The sequence below is a fragment of the Homo sapiens genome, chromosome 8, assembly GCF_000001405.40.
Source record: "Homo sapiens chromosome 8, GRCh38.p14 Primary Assembly".
NCBI lineage: Eukaryota > Metazoa > Chordata > Mammalia > Primates > Hominidae > Homo > Homo sapiens.
Genome location: NC_000008.11, coordinates 16775057 through 16791815, shown reverse-complemented (window position 1 = coordinate 16791815; position 16759 = coordinate 16775057). Strand labels below are relative to the sequence as shown.

The 16759-nt window shown below is 40.3% G+C and overlaps 1 long non-coding RNA gene across 1 annotated transcript in view, besides 1 other annotated feature; it reads left to right on the top strand.

The window, feature by feature from the left end:
- Positions 1-8601, top strand: part of LOC105379297 (uncharacterized) — a 132858-nt gene extending 124257 nt beyond the window's left edge. Inside the window, exon 3 of the long non-coding RNA XR_949525.1 lies at positions 8534-8601. This is a non-coding gene — a long non-coding RNA (uncharacterized LOC105379297). The remainder of the gene's footprint in view (positions 1-8533) is intronic.
- Positions 16165-16312: a silencer, noted in NCBI's record as "fragment chr8:16633013-16633160 (GRCh37/hg19 assembly coordinates)". NCBI's record gives its function as "represses an EF-1alpha promoter that drives an FKBP-Casp9 reporter gene in an ReSE screen in K562 erythroleukemia cells {active_cell/tissue: K562}" and the evidence as "EXISTENCE:reporter gene assay evidence [ECO:0000049][PMID:32094911]".

The window sequence follows — 16759 nt, the reverse complement described above, 5'->3', positions numbered from 1 at the left end:
ATATAAACAAAATTTGACTAAGAATAAGATACACTAATAATTTAGTACAGTGTATATATTTTTTAATAGAGCAAAGTTTATGGCCAGTTCTGTTTATTTTTTTTTTTCTTTTTTTTAAGTCTCGTTCTGTCACCCAGGCTGGAGTGCAGTGGCGTGATCTCGGCTCACTGCAACCTTCGCCCCCTGGGTTCAAGCAATTCTCTCGATGCAGCCTCACAAGTAGCTGGGATTACAGGCGTCTGCCACCATGCCCAGCTGATTTGTGTATTTTTATTAGAGATGGGGTTTCACCATGTTGGCCAGGCTGGTCTTGAACTCCTGAACTAAAGTGATCCTCCCACCTTGGTCTCTCAAAGTGTTGGGATTACAGGCATGAGCCGCCACGCCTGGCCCAGGTCTTTTACATGGTAGCTTCTGTGGTCCAGTTTCAGGTTATATGCCAGACATTTTTTCCTTCATAAAACTTTTAAAGCTCACAGATAAGATTAGTATGTAGCCGGCCGTGCGCGGTGGGTCACACCTGTAATCCCAGCACTTTGGGAGGCCGAGGCGGGCAGATCACGAGGTCAGGAGATCGAGACCGTGGTGAAACCCCGTCTGCACTAAAAATACAAAGAAAAAAAAAATTAGCTGGGCGCAGTGGCGGGCGCCTGTAGTCCCAGTTACTCCGGAGGCTGAGGCAGGAGAATGGCGTGAACCCGGGAGGCGGAGCTTGCAGTGAGCCGAGATTGCACCACTGCACTCCAGCCTGGGTGACAGAGCGAGACTCCCTCTGAAGAAAAAAAAAAAAAAAAAAAAAAAAAAAGATTACTATGTAGCCTGTGTAAGATCAGGAATGGTAATATTATCATAAAAGAAGGCGATTGCAGGTGGGATGTCTAAAAAGTAGTGAAAGTATCAGGAGGTGACAAATAGAAATGATTGCCTATTATTCTCTGTTGAGGAAAGTTGTGACACTCTTTGTATGTTGGGTGGGAGGAGAGTTCAGTGATCAATTACTGCTGCTTTTCCTGGGCCATGGAACAGGGAAACATGGGATATTTGTCTTTATTTGCTGAAGTTGTAAGTAAAAGAATGTCTTGATTCTATTCTAAAGGGTAGAGAATAGCAATTCATTAGGGTGGCATAGGTTGATAGAAACTTTCTGTAAGTGACTGTACCATTTAATATTCTCACCAATATGAAGGTTCTTTCCAGTTTCTCCAAGTCCTTGTCAACACTTAACATTGTCTGCATTTGATGTTCTAGGGGTGTGAAGTGGAATCTCATTGTGGTTTTAATTTGAATGTCCCTAATGAGTAATAATGATGAACTTCTTTTAATGTTTGTATTGGCCATTTCTATATCTTCTCTGGTGAAATGTCTATTAAAATCTTTGGCCCATTTTTTTAGTGTTTTTATTTTAAAAGATGGGGTCTCATTCTGTTGCCCAGGCTGGAGTGCAGTGGCATGATCATGGCCCACTGCAGCCTCAACCTCACAGGGTCAAGTGATCTACCTCATTCTCCCAAGTAGCTGGGACTACGGGTGTGCACCAGCACATCCGGCTAATTTTTTAAAAAATATTTTTTGTAGAGACAAGGTCTTGCTATGTTGCCCAGGCTAGCCTTGAACTCCTGGACTTAAGCAATCCTCCCACCTCCACCTTCCAAGGTGCTAGGACTAGAGGTGTGAACCACTGTGCCCAGCCTTTGCCCACTTTTTAGTTGGGTTGTTTACCATCTTAATTATGGAGTTGTAAGAGTTTTTCTTTTTATACTTGAGTTACAAGTTTATTACTGGAGATATGATTTTCAAACATTTCTTCTACTCCATGGCTTGTCTTTTTACTTTCTTGATTGTATATTTTGAAGTGAAAAGGTTTTGAATTTCAGTGATGCCTATTAATGTTTTTCTTTATTTCCTGTGTTTACTTTTGTAAAATTATTACATAATCCAAGATCACTACTCCTATGTTTTCTTCTAAGAATTTTATAGTTTAGTTTAGTTCTTACTTGTAAGTATACAATATAGTTCAAGTTACTCTTTGTGTATGGCGTGAGGTAAGGGTTGAAGCTCATTACTCTGCATGTAGGTATCTAATTGTTCCAGCACCATTTGGTGAAAAAACAATTTTTTCCTCTATTTAAAGGTATTAGTACCTTTGTCCAGGGAGAGTTTCTTGTTATGCATAATTCTCATAGCAAATCAATGCAAGTAAATCTGGCTACTAAATACTATAGTCAGTATCCTCATCATGTTCACGAAGAAACTGAAAGGCAATGCTAAATCTATAAATTTCTGATATATAAGACACTGTACTATTGTGCTAAGTCCTTGATAGTTTACGCGGCATATCTAAATACAGGGCAGTGGCTATAGACATTAATCAAATAATAATGTATGTACGGTTGTGAACTGTGGTAAGAGCTGAAATTATTTTTTTTCTAAATACAATAATTCAATAGTAAAGCTATTATCAATTATACTTTTCTTATAGTACTAGAATATAAATTTCTAATTGGTTTTATAATTTTAAACTTGGAAAATATTGAATAGTTAATAATTTTAGTTGTGTTGGTTGTAAAAAGAAACTGCATAATAAAAGTCTTCTAAAAATTCAGTGGAGATGGAATTTATTCCTTAGATTACATTGAGCACTGAGCTAAGCATTGGGCATTTATCATATTCTTCTGCAAATGTTTGCATTTTAATTTTCCTCTGAGGGTTAAAGCTGAGACGGATTTTGTTCTTGTGCCTCTGAGTAAGTCACTTAACTCTTTGTGCCTCAGTGTTCTTTTCTCTTAAATGGTTGTATGAATCTCATATGATTCTTGTGAGGATTAAATACATTTATCTATATAAAATACTGAAAACGGTGCTTGACGCATAGTAAGTGTTGACTACTATCCATCACTTGAATGTAAGTCCTTTGAGGGCAGAGATTTTTGTTACTTTAATTCCCTAATATATTCTAGTCCCTTAAACACATACCTGACACATATCTGATGTTTAAAAACTGTAGAGTGAAGTATGTAAGACATAAAATGCTGGTTTCTAGTAGGGCAAATTGTGGGAATTTCATTAGACTTATGGTAATGGGCTCATCATGCCATTGAAAATCTTTTCCCCATTCTCTCTTTTTTTTTTGGCAGTGGAGTTTCACTGTGTTGCCCAGGCTGGAGTGCAGTGGTGGGATCTTGGCTCACTGCAAGCTCTGCCTCCCGGGTTCAAGGGATTCTCCTGCCTCTGCCTCCCAAGTAGCTGGGATTACAGGTGCCTGCCACCACGCCAGGCTAATTTTTATATTTTTAGTAGAGATGGGGTTTCACCATGTTGGCTAGGTTGGTCTCAAACTCCTAATCTCTGGTGATCCACCCGCCTCGGCCTCCCAAAGTGCTGGTATTACACACGTTAGCCACTGTGTCGGATCCTCATTCTTTACCTGTTACCTGTTTACCTTTACACAAGAGTGTGTGATGTGCTAATATGGTGCACTAGATTGGAGTTACTTTTGTAAACCCTAGATTTGGAACAATGTTATATAGGGGAATGGGCAGTTTTACAGAGACTTATGGACTAAATTGAGATACGTGTAGAGCAAGTCATAAATAAAATTGAAAAACAATCCTGATCTCCCAACATACCCACTTAAAGAATTGAAACAATTTGGAGAAAAACGCTGGCAGAGCCACCAGATGGTAGTGAGGACTGTGAAGTGAAAGTGTGGCAGAAAAGATGAGTTGGAATGAAAACACCCCTTGGTTTTTGCAAAGTTCCCTACACATGTATTGAATTTCCAATAACATTTAGGATGTTTTGAGAGATGAAGAATCCTTTTCTAGAAATAAATTTCAATTTGAATCCCATAGTCAGAGACGCCTTGGAAACTCTCATTGTTTGCTACTTGGAGCTGCATATTGTCAAGTCTAGATTCTATCAAATGAAGATTCTTTAAAAGAAAAGAGAAATTTGATCACTACGGGGAGTAGGTAAAGTCAATTGCTGAAATGAATAGGAAAAGGACACAGTTTCAAAGAGAAAGTGAGAGTATCCGAGTTGGCCCTTTCAATATGCTTCTTGACAGATGTGCCGTCTTCCAGCTTCTTTTCTCCAGTGAGTTAAGGAAGCCAGTCTTAACAAAGAAGGACTCTCATGTGTCTCCCTGTATGGAAGACAGTGCCTCTAATAGCATTTGGTTACTCTTAAAAGCCCTTGTTCTTGTGGTTTGAGCTCTTGCGGTTTTCAAGAAAAAGTTTGAGGAAAGCAAGTATATTTATTTTTGGAAACCGAAGAGGCAGATGCCATTAAAATGTGTCCAGTACATCTTTTAAAATGGAAATATAATATTAAATGTCTCAGAGCAAGTGACTTAATAACGCAAGGTGTTTCCTTGCAATCTGGATTAATTCTCTTAATTTATCCTAATGTTTTCCTGTTATTTCAATGGGTTTGTTTTGATCTAAATATATATATATCGATTTAAGCTTTGATTTGTTTTGACAGAAGAACAATTCCTGTTCAGATCAATTCTGTGGATTTATCCTCTATAGGAAGGAAGTGGATGACAGGTATGGCTGAGGTTTTCCTAGGAAATTCAGTGTTTGCCATACCGGGCATTGACTGGGAGGAAGTGAGGATCGTGGATCTAGTTTTCATAAAATCAAACCAAGCCAAACCAAGCGAAACAAAGGAATAAGGGAAAGCCGAGAAATTGCCAAGCAACCAAAATTTGGAATTCTTGTTTCAGTTGGAGGAGGGTTCATGAATTCGATATCGCGATAATAAGATAGTGCTACAACTGTGTGAGTACTTTAAGCTGTGGAAGATTTTTCACCTACGTTTTCACATGTGATGTTCAGAACACTGTTAGGGCAATGGCAGGGCAAGGTGCGCCTTTATTAAAACCATTTTGTCAGCGGTGAAACTGGGTGTATTAATTTCCTAGGGCTGCCAATAACAAATGTCCACAAACTTGGTGGCTTCAAACAACAGAAAGTTATTCTCTTATAGTTCTGGAAGCTAGAAATCAGAAATCCAGTCAGCAGGGCTATGTTTATTCTGGAGACTCTAGGGCGGCGGTCCCCAAACTTCTTGGCACCAGGGACCTGTTTCATGGAAGACAATTTTTCCGTGGACAGGGGATGGGGATGGTTTTGGAATGACTCAAGCACATTAAATTTATAGTGTCCTTTATTTCTATTATTACCTTCTAATATGTAATGAAGTAACTATGCAACTCATCATAAAGTAGAATCAGTGGGAGCTCTGAACTTGTTTTCCTACAACCAGATGGTCCCATCTGGGGGTGATGGGAGGCAGTGACAGATCATAAGGCATTAGATTCTCATAAAGAGCTTGCAGCCTAGGTCCCTCGCATGCTCAGTTTGCAATAGGATTTGTGCTCCTGTGAGAAGCTATGAAGAATGCTGCTGCTGATCTGACAGGGCACAGAGCTTAGGGGGTAATGCAAGCAATGGGAAGTGGCTGTAAATACAGATGAAGCTTTGCTTGCTTACCCATCTCTCATTTCCTGTTGTGTAGCCCAGTTCGTAACAGGCTGCAGACGTAACAGGCTGGGGACCCCTGCTTTAGGGGAGAATTCATTCTTTGCCCCTTCTGGCTTCTGGTGGCTGCCAGTATTCCTTGCCTTGTGGCCACATCCCTCCCATTTCTGCCTCTGTGACCACATTGCCTTCTCCTGTACGGTGTCTTCTCCTCTTCTGTGTCTCAAATCTCCCCCTACCTTTCTCTTATAAGGACAGTTGTGATTGGCTTTAGGGGCCCACTCGGATAGTCCAGAATGATCTCTTCATCTCAGGATACCTACGTGCTTTCCATAGTTTGCTGTCCCATGTATGTTAAAGAAAAATGAAATGGTCTTGGCTGGGCACGGTGGCTCACACCTGTAATCCCAGCACTTTGTGGAGCCAAGGTGGGTAGCTCACAAGGTCAGGAGTTCAAGGCCAACCTGGCCAATATGGTGAAACCCTGTCTCTAATAAAAATACAAAAATTAGATGGGCATGGTGGTAGGCACCTGTAGTCCCAGCTACTGGGGAGGCTGAGGCAGGAGAATCATTTGAATCCAGGAGGCAGAGGTTGCAGTGAGCCGAGATTGTGCCACTGCACTCCAGCCTCAGCGACAGAGTGAGATTTTGTCTCAAAAAAAAAAAAAAGAAAGATGAAATGATCTCATTTCAAGAAAATGAAGACCTTAAAACGAAACGTACACAGATGAAATAATAAAAATGAGTAAGTGACTGTTAAACTCAAGGGTCAAGAGATCTTGTATATTTGGGATTCATCATGTTAAACAAAATGAAACAGATTTTTAAATTACAAATATATCAAAGTCCTTAATATATTTCAGTGCATTTTGAGTTTCCAAGGCAAATATAGTGTTTCCGAAAATTAAATGAAGAAGAGAATTCCTTTTTGCTGGACTTCAGGGACGAGTGGGCTTCAAAAAACAGTTTAGGAAAACAGTGCATTTCCTGCTTGACAAAGAGAAATTTAGCTCAACTATAGTGAATGGCCCGAGAGAAGAGTTACACAGGTTGCTATTGTGTCCTGAATTGGTGGGTTCTTGGTCTCACTGACTTCAAGAATGAAGCCGCGGACCCTGGCGGTGAGTGTTACAGCCCTTAAGGTGGCGCGTCTGGAGTCTGTCCCTTCTGAGGTTCAGATGTGTTTGGAGTTTTTTCCTTCTGGTGGGTTCGTGGTCTCGCTGGCTCAGTAGTGAAGCTGCAGACCTTCGCGGTGAGTGTTACAGCTCTTAAGGCAGCGCGTCTGGAGTTGTTTGTTCTTCCTGCTGGGCTCCTGATCTCGCTGGCCTCAGGAGTGAAGCTGCAGATCTTCGCGGTGAGTGTTACAGCTCATAAAAGCAGCGTGGACCCAAAGAGTGAGCAGTAGCAAGATTTATTGTAAAGAGTGAACGAACAAAGCTTCCACAGTGTGGAAGACCACCTGAACCAGTTGCCGATGCTAGCTCCGGCAGCCTGCTTTTATTCTCTTATCTGGCCCCACCCACATCCTGCTGATTGGTAGAGCCGAGTGGCCTGTTTTGTCAGGGTGCTGATTGGTGCGTTTATAATCCCTGAGCTAGATACAAAGGTTCTCCACTTCCCCATCAGATTAGTTAGATACAGAGTTTTGACACACAGGTTTTCCAAGGCCCCACCAGAGCAGCTAGATACAGATTGTCGATTGGTGCATTTACAAACCTTGAGCTAAACACAGGGTGCTGACTGGTGTGTTTACAAACCTTGAGCTAGATACAGAGTGCCGATTGGTGTATTTACAATCGTTGAGCTAGACATAAAGGTTCTCCACGTCCTCACCAGAGCAGCTAGATACAGAGTCGATTGGTGCACTCACAAACCTTGAGCTAAACACAGGTGCTGATTGGTGTGTTTACAATCCCTGAGCTAGATATAAAGACTCTCTACGTCCCCACCAGACTCAGGAGCCCAGCTGGCTTCACCTAGTGGATCCCACACCGGGGCTGCAGGTGGAGCTGCCTGCCAGTCCTGCACCCTGCGCTGGCATTCCTCAGCCCTTGGTTGGTCGATGGGACTGGGCGCCGTGGAGCAGGGGGTGGTGCTCGTCGGGGAGGCTCGGGCCGCACAGGAGCCCATGGAGTGGGTGGGAGGCTCAGGCATGGCGGGCTGCAGGTCCCGAGCCCTGCCCCGCGGGAAGGCAGCTAAGGCCCGGCGAGAAATCGAGCGCAGCGCCGGTGGGCTGGCACTGCTGGGGGACACAGTACACCCTCCGCAGCTACTGGCCCGGGTGCTAAGTCCCCCATTGCCTGGGGCCAGCAGGGCTGGCTGGCTGCTCCGAGTGCGGGGCCCACCAAGCCCACGCCCACCCGGAACTCCAGCTGGCCCGCAAGCGCCGCACGCAGCCCCGGTTCCCGCTCGTGCCTCCCTCCACACCTCCCTGCAAGCTGAGGGAGTGGGCTCCGGCTTTGGCCAGCCCAGAAAGGGGCTCCCACAGTGCAGTGGGGGGCTGAAGGGCTCCTCAAATGCTGCCAAAGTGGGAGCCCAGGCAGAGGAGGTGCCAAGAGCAAGTGAGGGCTCTGAGGACTGCCAGCACGCTGTCACCTCTCACTATCATGTATTGAGTACTTACTATGAGTTAGGTACGTATTAGGTACTTTAGATGCATTAACATTTAATCTTTACAACACCCTTTTGAGGTAGGTTCTATTATAATTATTTTATATCGGGAAACTGAGGCAAAGAGATTTACACAACTTTTCCAGATTTACACAGCTAGTAAGTGGTTGAGTTTGGATCGTAATCAAGGTAACCTTCTTAATCAAGCCTGCTATCATAACCACTGTATTAATCTGATATTAAAATATTCTAATAAAGCAGCTGTAGTGTAACCAAGTAGTTAATAAATAAATATGGATACATATGCATATCATATATATATTTTTTCAGTCTCAAGACTTTGGAAAGGGGCGCTTAGGCTATTTTGGTCTGTATTTGGCACCAGGGAAGCGAGACTCGCTGTCCAATCCGTCTGTCATTGTTTCTGTCATTTAGGGTTCCGAGAAGCGGCAAAGCTAATGCTCTGAAGGAGGAAAAGAAATATGTTGCGATGTTCTCAAGACGTATATCAAAGATGTTTCAGTCCCCAGGTAATTTACTAGATCTGGTTCTATTCCTATTTTCTTCAAAGCTTCAGTAAAAAGGAAAGAGATGCCAAATGGTGTTTAGGCTAGCAGAGAGACATCTGGACTCTTCTCCTGGATCTGGCCTTGCTAACAGGAAATTTCTCCTGACAATCGCAGGGCTGTGGTGAGGTGGAAGAAATTTCTTTTCTCCTAAGATAAAATTCCAAGTTATTATTTTTGGAATATTCTCCATTACATTTTCTGTAGTACACTTAAAGCTTGTTCCCGTAGTTAACAACTACTGCCATCGCTCCACATTTATTTTAGGAATGAAGGCTGAATTATCTAAGGATGAAGAAGGGATTACTAGGTAGAACAAGACCACAGAGCCCTATTTCATGGGGTGGCATTAACCTCAGAGGATCAAATCAGTGATTGTTAGCAAAGTGCTTGGAACGGTGACTGCCACACATGAGGGCTTGCTTACTAACTCAATAAATTAAAACAAAACTGAGGGAGAATGTGCCTTCTCTGGGGATAGTCCTGGGACTTCTGAGAAAATCCGAAAGGACTCAGCTACTGCCCTCAAAGCAGGAATTTGTTTGCAAGTTTGCTGAGCTCAACATGCAATATGTAGTGATTTCTCTCTTTTTAAGCCTTAGTGGTTTGGAACAGTGACAAATGCTTCCAAATGATGCCTAGCTTCCATACAGATGGAAGAAGGAAGGCCCATCGAATCTGCAAGGAGCCTCAGGAAATATAGTGAGATATTATTATCATTGTTTTCCAGACATGGAAATTGAGTCTCAAAGAGGTTAGGTTTCCTGCTCAAGTTCATGCAGAGTGAGGATATAAGCCCACACCTCTCTCACACCCACATCAAGATGCTTCCACTGCACTGCTCAAGGCAATCAGGCATGACCTGTAGATAGTCTCATTAGAACAAGTATGTATGTATATATTTATTTATTTCTACCTCTCTTTTTGATCTTATGGAACCCTCTTCCTCATGAGACAATAATTCTTGTTGCATGCTTTAAATTGAAAAGTTTCCCTTGACTGAACTAATGCTTTCCACGGTGGACTCAGAGAGATTATATAGAGTGCTGATTAGGCGATATGAGACCTAGGAGAAGCTGTTAGATGCTTTGGAAAAATGGGAATTTATATCTTCTTTATAAAAAATAACTGGTTGAATCAGGGAAATAATTTAAAAGTTCGGTTGTGTCTGATCAAGGTTCACTCGTTTGGTAAGCATTTTTTGAAAGCAGACTTTCATGTCAGAGGCTTTACTGGGCTTGGGGAATATAAAAATCAGAAAGACATGCATCTTGTAATGAGCTCACAACCTAGTGTATACACAATCTAATCGTATAACTTTGTTATTCAAGGCATTAAATATTGCAAAAGAAACAAAAACTATTATTTAACCACTGAGCTAATGCGTTCCTCTAAAAACTAATCTGTTACGGCAAAAAGTTTTATGTATCCATACAAATATAGATACATAAAGGTATGTATAGGTATTTGCAATCACTTTCTCTCTTATGTATGCCAAAGTCTAGCCATAATGATTAGCAAAAGGCTAGGATAATTTATATTAGAAATGAGATCAAAATGCTGATAAAAAGGTGACAAAATAAATTCAATCAAACCAAATTGTACTTACACTATGATAATGACTACTAGCTACTATCTGTGGAATAGCTAATTATGTGGGTCAGACGCCATGTATTTTTAATACTATGTCTCATTTGCTTACTTATTGTGGGGTATTTTCCACATTACAACCCAATGATATGTTTCACTTGCTGTCTGTGACTGGCAATACAGTAATCCAAGTACCATGATCTGTTACGTTTTCATCCTCATGGGACAATGTTCATGAAACACGTATCCAGCATAAGCATCTTATCCTTCTCTCTTCACTCACTGAAAATACATATTGGATATTTGCTATTAACTATATTATGTATCTCCTAATATTTTCATAAGACTTAAATTTCAGGGAACCAGAGGTAAAATATGGTAAAAAGCCCATATTCTGCTTCTCGTTTAAAAAACTCCAAAGCATGATTTATATGTTCTAATTTCATAGATGGTATGAAAACTGTTTGTAATTAATTTTTAACTATTGCACATATCATGAGAAGATGATTATTTCTAGAGACCTGAAGCCAAAATGTGCTTTAGAATAACCTATTAAGTAACGGGAATTACAATGATTACCTTATTTTAATCTTTCTATGCCTGTTCTTTAATTCCTAAAACTGATTTTTTTTTTCCTATTTAGTTCTTTGAATCTATTTTTGCTTTAGCATAATGAATAACTTATTTTCTGCACCTGCTGGAGCCTATACCTTATTCTTCAAGATAAGTGGCTAAACGATGAGTGCTTTTGGCTGCTTTTTCAGAAAAAGACATTTAGGATGAATCTGTAGAATCACCTGTGTCTTTTGTGTCTGTTATTTTTCACTGAGGGCAAATGGATCTACCTCACCCTCAGACCCCCATCAGGCAAGTTTGCCTTTCCTTTTCCCATCCGCAAGACAAATTAAGAATGCTGAAACCTTTCACTCATAACAAAACAGTGATAAAGCAGGTAACAAGACCTCACATTAATCAGGTCTTTCAAAGAAGAGGCCCCAACCTGCACCCTTTGTCTAGCCTGCTGGTAGGTGGGTTTTTTTTCAGTCTCTTTTTAGGGGCCTAGCATTCTTTAGTTCGGCAGCACATTCTCCTTGGAAATGTTTCACTTTTCAGACAGCCTCTGTGTTGATAAAAAAACCCAGAGAGCCACTACAGAAATCTGAACTTCTAATGATCTTCTTTTATATTTTCTTACAATGGACAATGGCTCTGTCAATGCTAATGGCATCAGTACACAGGCAACAATGCAAAGAGATGCAGGGTGGAGAGAGTAGCCACTGTCACAAGATGTGCTGTATCATCTTGGCACAAAAAAATCCTGTTTTCTGTAGCCAAATTGTTGCTTTCTCTTGTTGAAAATATTCAAGATTCCTGTAAACCAATGCTAAAGAGTAGATGAGTAATTTTCTTCTCAGGAGGAAAACACTACCTTCAGTTAAATGGTAATAGACCAGTTTTCTTGTGCTATTCTAATCCTTTTCACTAACATCACAAAAATAGAGTAATTTCTCCCTTAACTTTCTTCATGCAGCTGTCGACCTGTTGTTCCCAGGCTAAATTGTGCACACGCTGTACCTACAATTATATTGAGTCAAGCACGCCCTCTACTGATCAATAAAAATACTATCGAACAGGATTCACCAGAATACTAAACTCACAAAGGACAGACATTTTGGGCAGTTTTATTTGCAAGTGTGTTTTTCAAACATTGCAAATGTTAGAAGAGTGTAAAAAATTGTATATTAGATTTCACAGAAACATAATTAAATTTAAATTAATTTAAAAAAATAATTTAACTTGTGCTACTGATATAAATTTACAAAATTTACAGATTGCCAAGGATTGATCAGAAAAGGTGAAATAACTTCACTTCTCTTAAAGTTTTTTTTTTTTTTGTGGAAGAACTAACATTTTAACGATACATACAAATAAGTTATTGTTTTAAAGCAAGGGTTGGCAAACTTTTTTTGCAGTGAACCAGGTAGTAAATATCCTAGGCTTCGCTGGGCTGTAAAGTCTCTGTTGCAACTATTTAACTCTATTATTTTTGTGCAAAACTAGCCATAGACAATATGTGAATGAGTGGGTGTGGCTGTGTTCCAATAAAACTTTATTTACAAAGCAAACCAGGCTGGATTGATTTGCTCTATAAAACAGTGAACTTGAAGGCTTGTTGAACCATAAAAGAATGTAAACACCCCCAAAGTGTTGCATTCTTTAAAAAAAAAGTTACTCTGGAGTAGGTGCCTGTGATTTTAACTTGAAGGCTGACATGACTTCGAAACATTCTGAAACTTTTTCTTTTTGATTAGTTCCCTAACTCAACTTACAAACATTGTTAAAAGTAATGAAAGGTTAGAACCCACAGGCCCTCAAACATCATATATTGCAATTATCTAGTTTACAGATGAGGAAGCTAAAGGCTTGAATTTCCTGAATGCTACTCCAGCCATCTACATTATTTTCTGGATCAGCTGTCAATGACTTTTGGTTATTTTGATAAGTTAATGCATGGAATAATTTTACAAACTAGAAGGAATTAAACAAGTATGATTGTTATTAACAAGTTAGGAAAAGAAAATTACAGACGTTTGTATTTTCTCACCCTTTGAAGATCATGTCTACATGAATGATAAAACTACAGCAAGTCAATAACATCTCCCTGTCTTGTAACCACCACAAGTATTAGCAATATTAACTCATACAGATATTTTGTGTATCATAATTTCATAGATATTAGAAACTTTATTGGCAGTTGGGTACAGAGATGACTGTAATTTCTCTTGGCATTTGAGCAAAATAATGAATTATTTGTGTTGATGCATGATAACCAAAGATAGACTCTTCACTATTAAATTGTTATTAGTGTTACTATTATTATTTTTTTGAGATGAAGTCTCACTCTGTTGCCCAGGCTGGAGTGCAGCAGTGCGATCTTGGCCCGCTGCAACCTCTGCCTCCCAGGTTTAAGTGATTCTCATGCCTTAGTCTCCCGACTAGCTAGGATTTCAGACTTGTGCCACCATGCCTGGCTAATTTTTGTAGTTTTGATAGAGATGAGGTTTTGCCATTTGCCCAGGCTGGTCTGGACCTCCTGGCCTCAAGTGATCCTCCTGCCTCAGCCTCCCGGTGTGCTGGGATTACAGGCATGAGCCACCGTGCCTGGCCTTACTTTATTTTTTAATGCCAGATAACCAATCAAGGGTGTGTTTTTTCTTTTGGATTACTTTTGGCAACGGATGTCATTATGTGAAGACACACCCCTATGGCCACTACATATAAATAAAATTTCCTCGAACTTCATTCATTGCTGCATATTCTGACCAAATAGTGAATTTTAAATGTCTTTCAAATTAAAACTAACAATGAAGACTTAAAATAAATCAATTCAGTAATTACTCCTTTATTTAACATCCATTAAAAATAGTTAGCTAAGGGCACTGTGTTAAGTGGTGGTGATACAGTTCTGATCAATAAGGCCTACTTGATTCTTGCTGTCATTGAGCTTTCAGACTATGCAGAAATTATTATTGATACAGCCTGTCTTAGTCTGTTTGAATTGCTGTAACAAAATACCATAAACTGGATAGCTTATAAACAACAGAAATTTATTTTTCCCCTTTCTGGAAAAATAAATTTCTTCCAGAATTTCTCGAACTGGGAAGTCCGAGATCAAGGTGCTGGCAGATTGAGTGTCTGGTGAAGGCCCTTTCTCATAGATGGCATCTTCTTGCTGTGTCTCACATGGTGGAAGGGGAGCAGCAGCTCTCTGCAGACCTTTATCATGGGGCACTAATTCCATTCATCAAGGCTCTGCCTTCATGCCCTAATCACCTCTCAAAGGCCATACCTCCCACCATCATCACATTGGTGAATAGGTTTCATCGTGTGAATCTTGGCAGGGACACAAGTATTCAAACCATAGCAGGCCATGAGCTCTGAGTTTGAAAACAAAAATGAACATGACATTTTTATTTTATGGTCAGCTCATTAGTCTCATTTATACTCTTCTCTCTAGAAATCTCTAGAAACTTCTTGACAGCAAGTTTGCTGTCAAGGGATTTATAGAAAGCATAAATGAGAGTAATCAAATGACAATAATAATATAATAAGTATAAAATGAGAATAGTAGTAGTAATTATATAATTATATAATATTATATAATTATATATAATATTATATAATAAAATAATAAATATATTTATTAACCATAAACTGAGAATAATAATAAATAATGATAACTAAAAAGTCATCTAGGGAGGAGATTAATTATTTACGGAATCCCAAAGAAGGCTTTGTAGCAGCATATTTGATCCAAGACTTGAATGCTAAATAGGATTTAACATGTAGAAATGAAGCAGGAGAGGAAAGAATAGAAATGTTCTTTTTTTTATTTGTACACATTTAAGGGTTGAAAGTGCAATTTTGTTACATGGATATTTAATTTAGTGGTGCAGCCTGGGCTTTTAGTGTAACTGTCACTCCAACAGTGTGTATTGTAGCCATTAAATAATTTCTTATTCTTCACCTCCTTCCCACCCTGCCACCCTTTCGAATCTCCAGTGTCTATTATTCCACACTGTATGTCCATGTGTATACACTGTTCAGCTCCCACTTCTAAGTGAGAACATGCGGTATTTGTCTTCGTGTTTCTGAGTTATTCCACTTAAGGTAATGGCCTGCAGTTCCATCCATATTGCGGCAAAAGACAGGATTTCATTCTTTTTACATGGCTGTGTGTGTGTGTGTGTGTGTGTGTGTGCGCGCACACACACCACATTTTGTTTATCTCATTATCCATTGATGAACACTTTTTTTTTTTTTTTGAGACGGAGTCTTGCTCTGTCGCCCAGGCTGGATTGTAGTGGCGTGATCTCGGCTCACTGCAAGCTCCACCTCCAGGTTCACGCCATTCTCCGGTCTCAGACTCCCGAGTAGCTGGGACTACAGGCGCCCACCACCAAGCCTGGCTAATTTTTTTTTTATTTTTAGTAGAGACGGGGTTTCACCGTGTTAGCCAGGATGGTCTCGATCTCCTGACCTCGTGAGCCGCCAGTCTTGTCCTCCCAAAGTGCTGGGATTACAGGCGTGAGCCACTGCGCCGGGCCTGATGAACACACGTGTTGATTCATATCTTTCCTACTGTGAATAGTGTGGCAATAAACACAGGAGCCTCGACAGAAGAAGTGTCATCATGAAAGACATGAAATGTGGTTGGAGAATAGTGAATAAAGCATTGTGGCTTGACTGTGTATACTTTTGTGAGATGATGTTGACAGGGAGATTGGACCAGATCGTGGGGGATATTGAAACAACAAAAGGAGGTTGAGAAGGTATTGGAGAACCATGGAACGTTTTTTAAGTTGGTGGTGACATGGTCAAAACTTTAATTGGGATGGCAAAGTGAGAGCCTAATCATGAGGAGATTGGCTGTTATTAAGATAGCTTGGGAGATTGGGAGAAAAGTAACCTGGGCTCGCATTTCTCAGTGGTATGTGTGTGTGAACGGACAGGAAGAAATATGATTTAATTCCCAAGGTGGAGAAAAATCTTTAGAACTGAGTGACTGATTAACCAATGAACTCTTTGATAAAGGGAGAAATAAAGAAGATTGTTAAGCTTCATTGTGTATATATAATGGCAGAAATGTTATAGATGACGAATCAGAAAAAGACACCAGTTCAACAGGGAGAATATGAGTTTTCTTTTGGCCCTACTGGATTTGAAGTGAGAATACAGTGTCCATATAAAGGTAGACTACCGGAATTTGCCAGTATGTTTCTGGTTTTTATTTTTATTTATTTATTTTTTTGAGACAGAGTCTCGCTCTGTTGCCCAGGCCGGAGTGCAGTGGCGCGATCTCGACTCACTGTAAGATCCGCCTCCCGGGTTCACACCATTCTCCTGCCTCAGCCTCCTGAGTAGCTGGGACTACGGGCACCCACCACCACTCCCGGTTAGTTTTTTTTATTTTTAGTAGAGACAGGGTTTCGCTGTGTTAGCCAGGATGGTCTCGATCTCCTAACCTCGTGATCCACCCGCCTTGGCCTCCCACAGTGCTGGGATTACAGGTGTGAACCACCGTGCCCGGCCTGTTTCTGGTTTTTAAAAGAGATTCAAATTTAAAAGTCACTTAGAAGTCACTGGTTACTAAATCAATGGAAGTGATGCTTTCACCTTATTGCTTTAATGTTTTCATTTTAAAAGGACTAAACTTTTCATTTGAGTCAAATTAGAGGTTTCTATGGAAGCCTTTGATAGCGTAAATCCATATATTCTTTGATAAGAACTTTATGGCACTTAATTTAGAAAGAAGTCCTTTAGGATGTTAGGACTTTGAACTCAGCAACTTTTTACCCCCAAAATGGGTTAGGAAGAAGGGCTAGATATGAATTTGAAAGGAGCACTTAAAATCATGGTATAGTGGACATGTTGCCTATATGTCAACAGGTTGAAATAAAAAGAAAGAAAGGAAAAAAGAGTCCCTAAAGCTTATCTGCAGTCC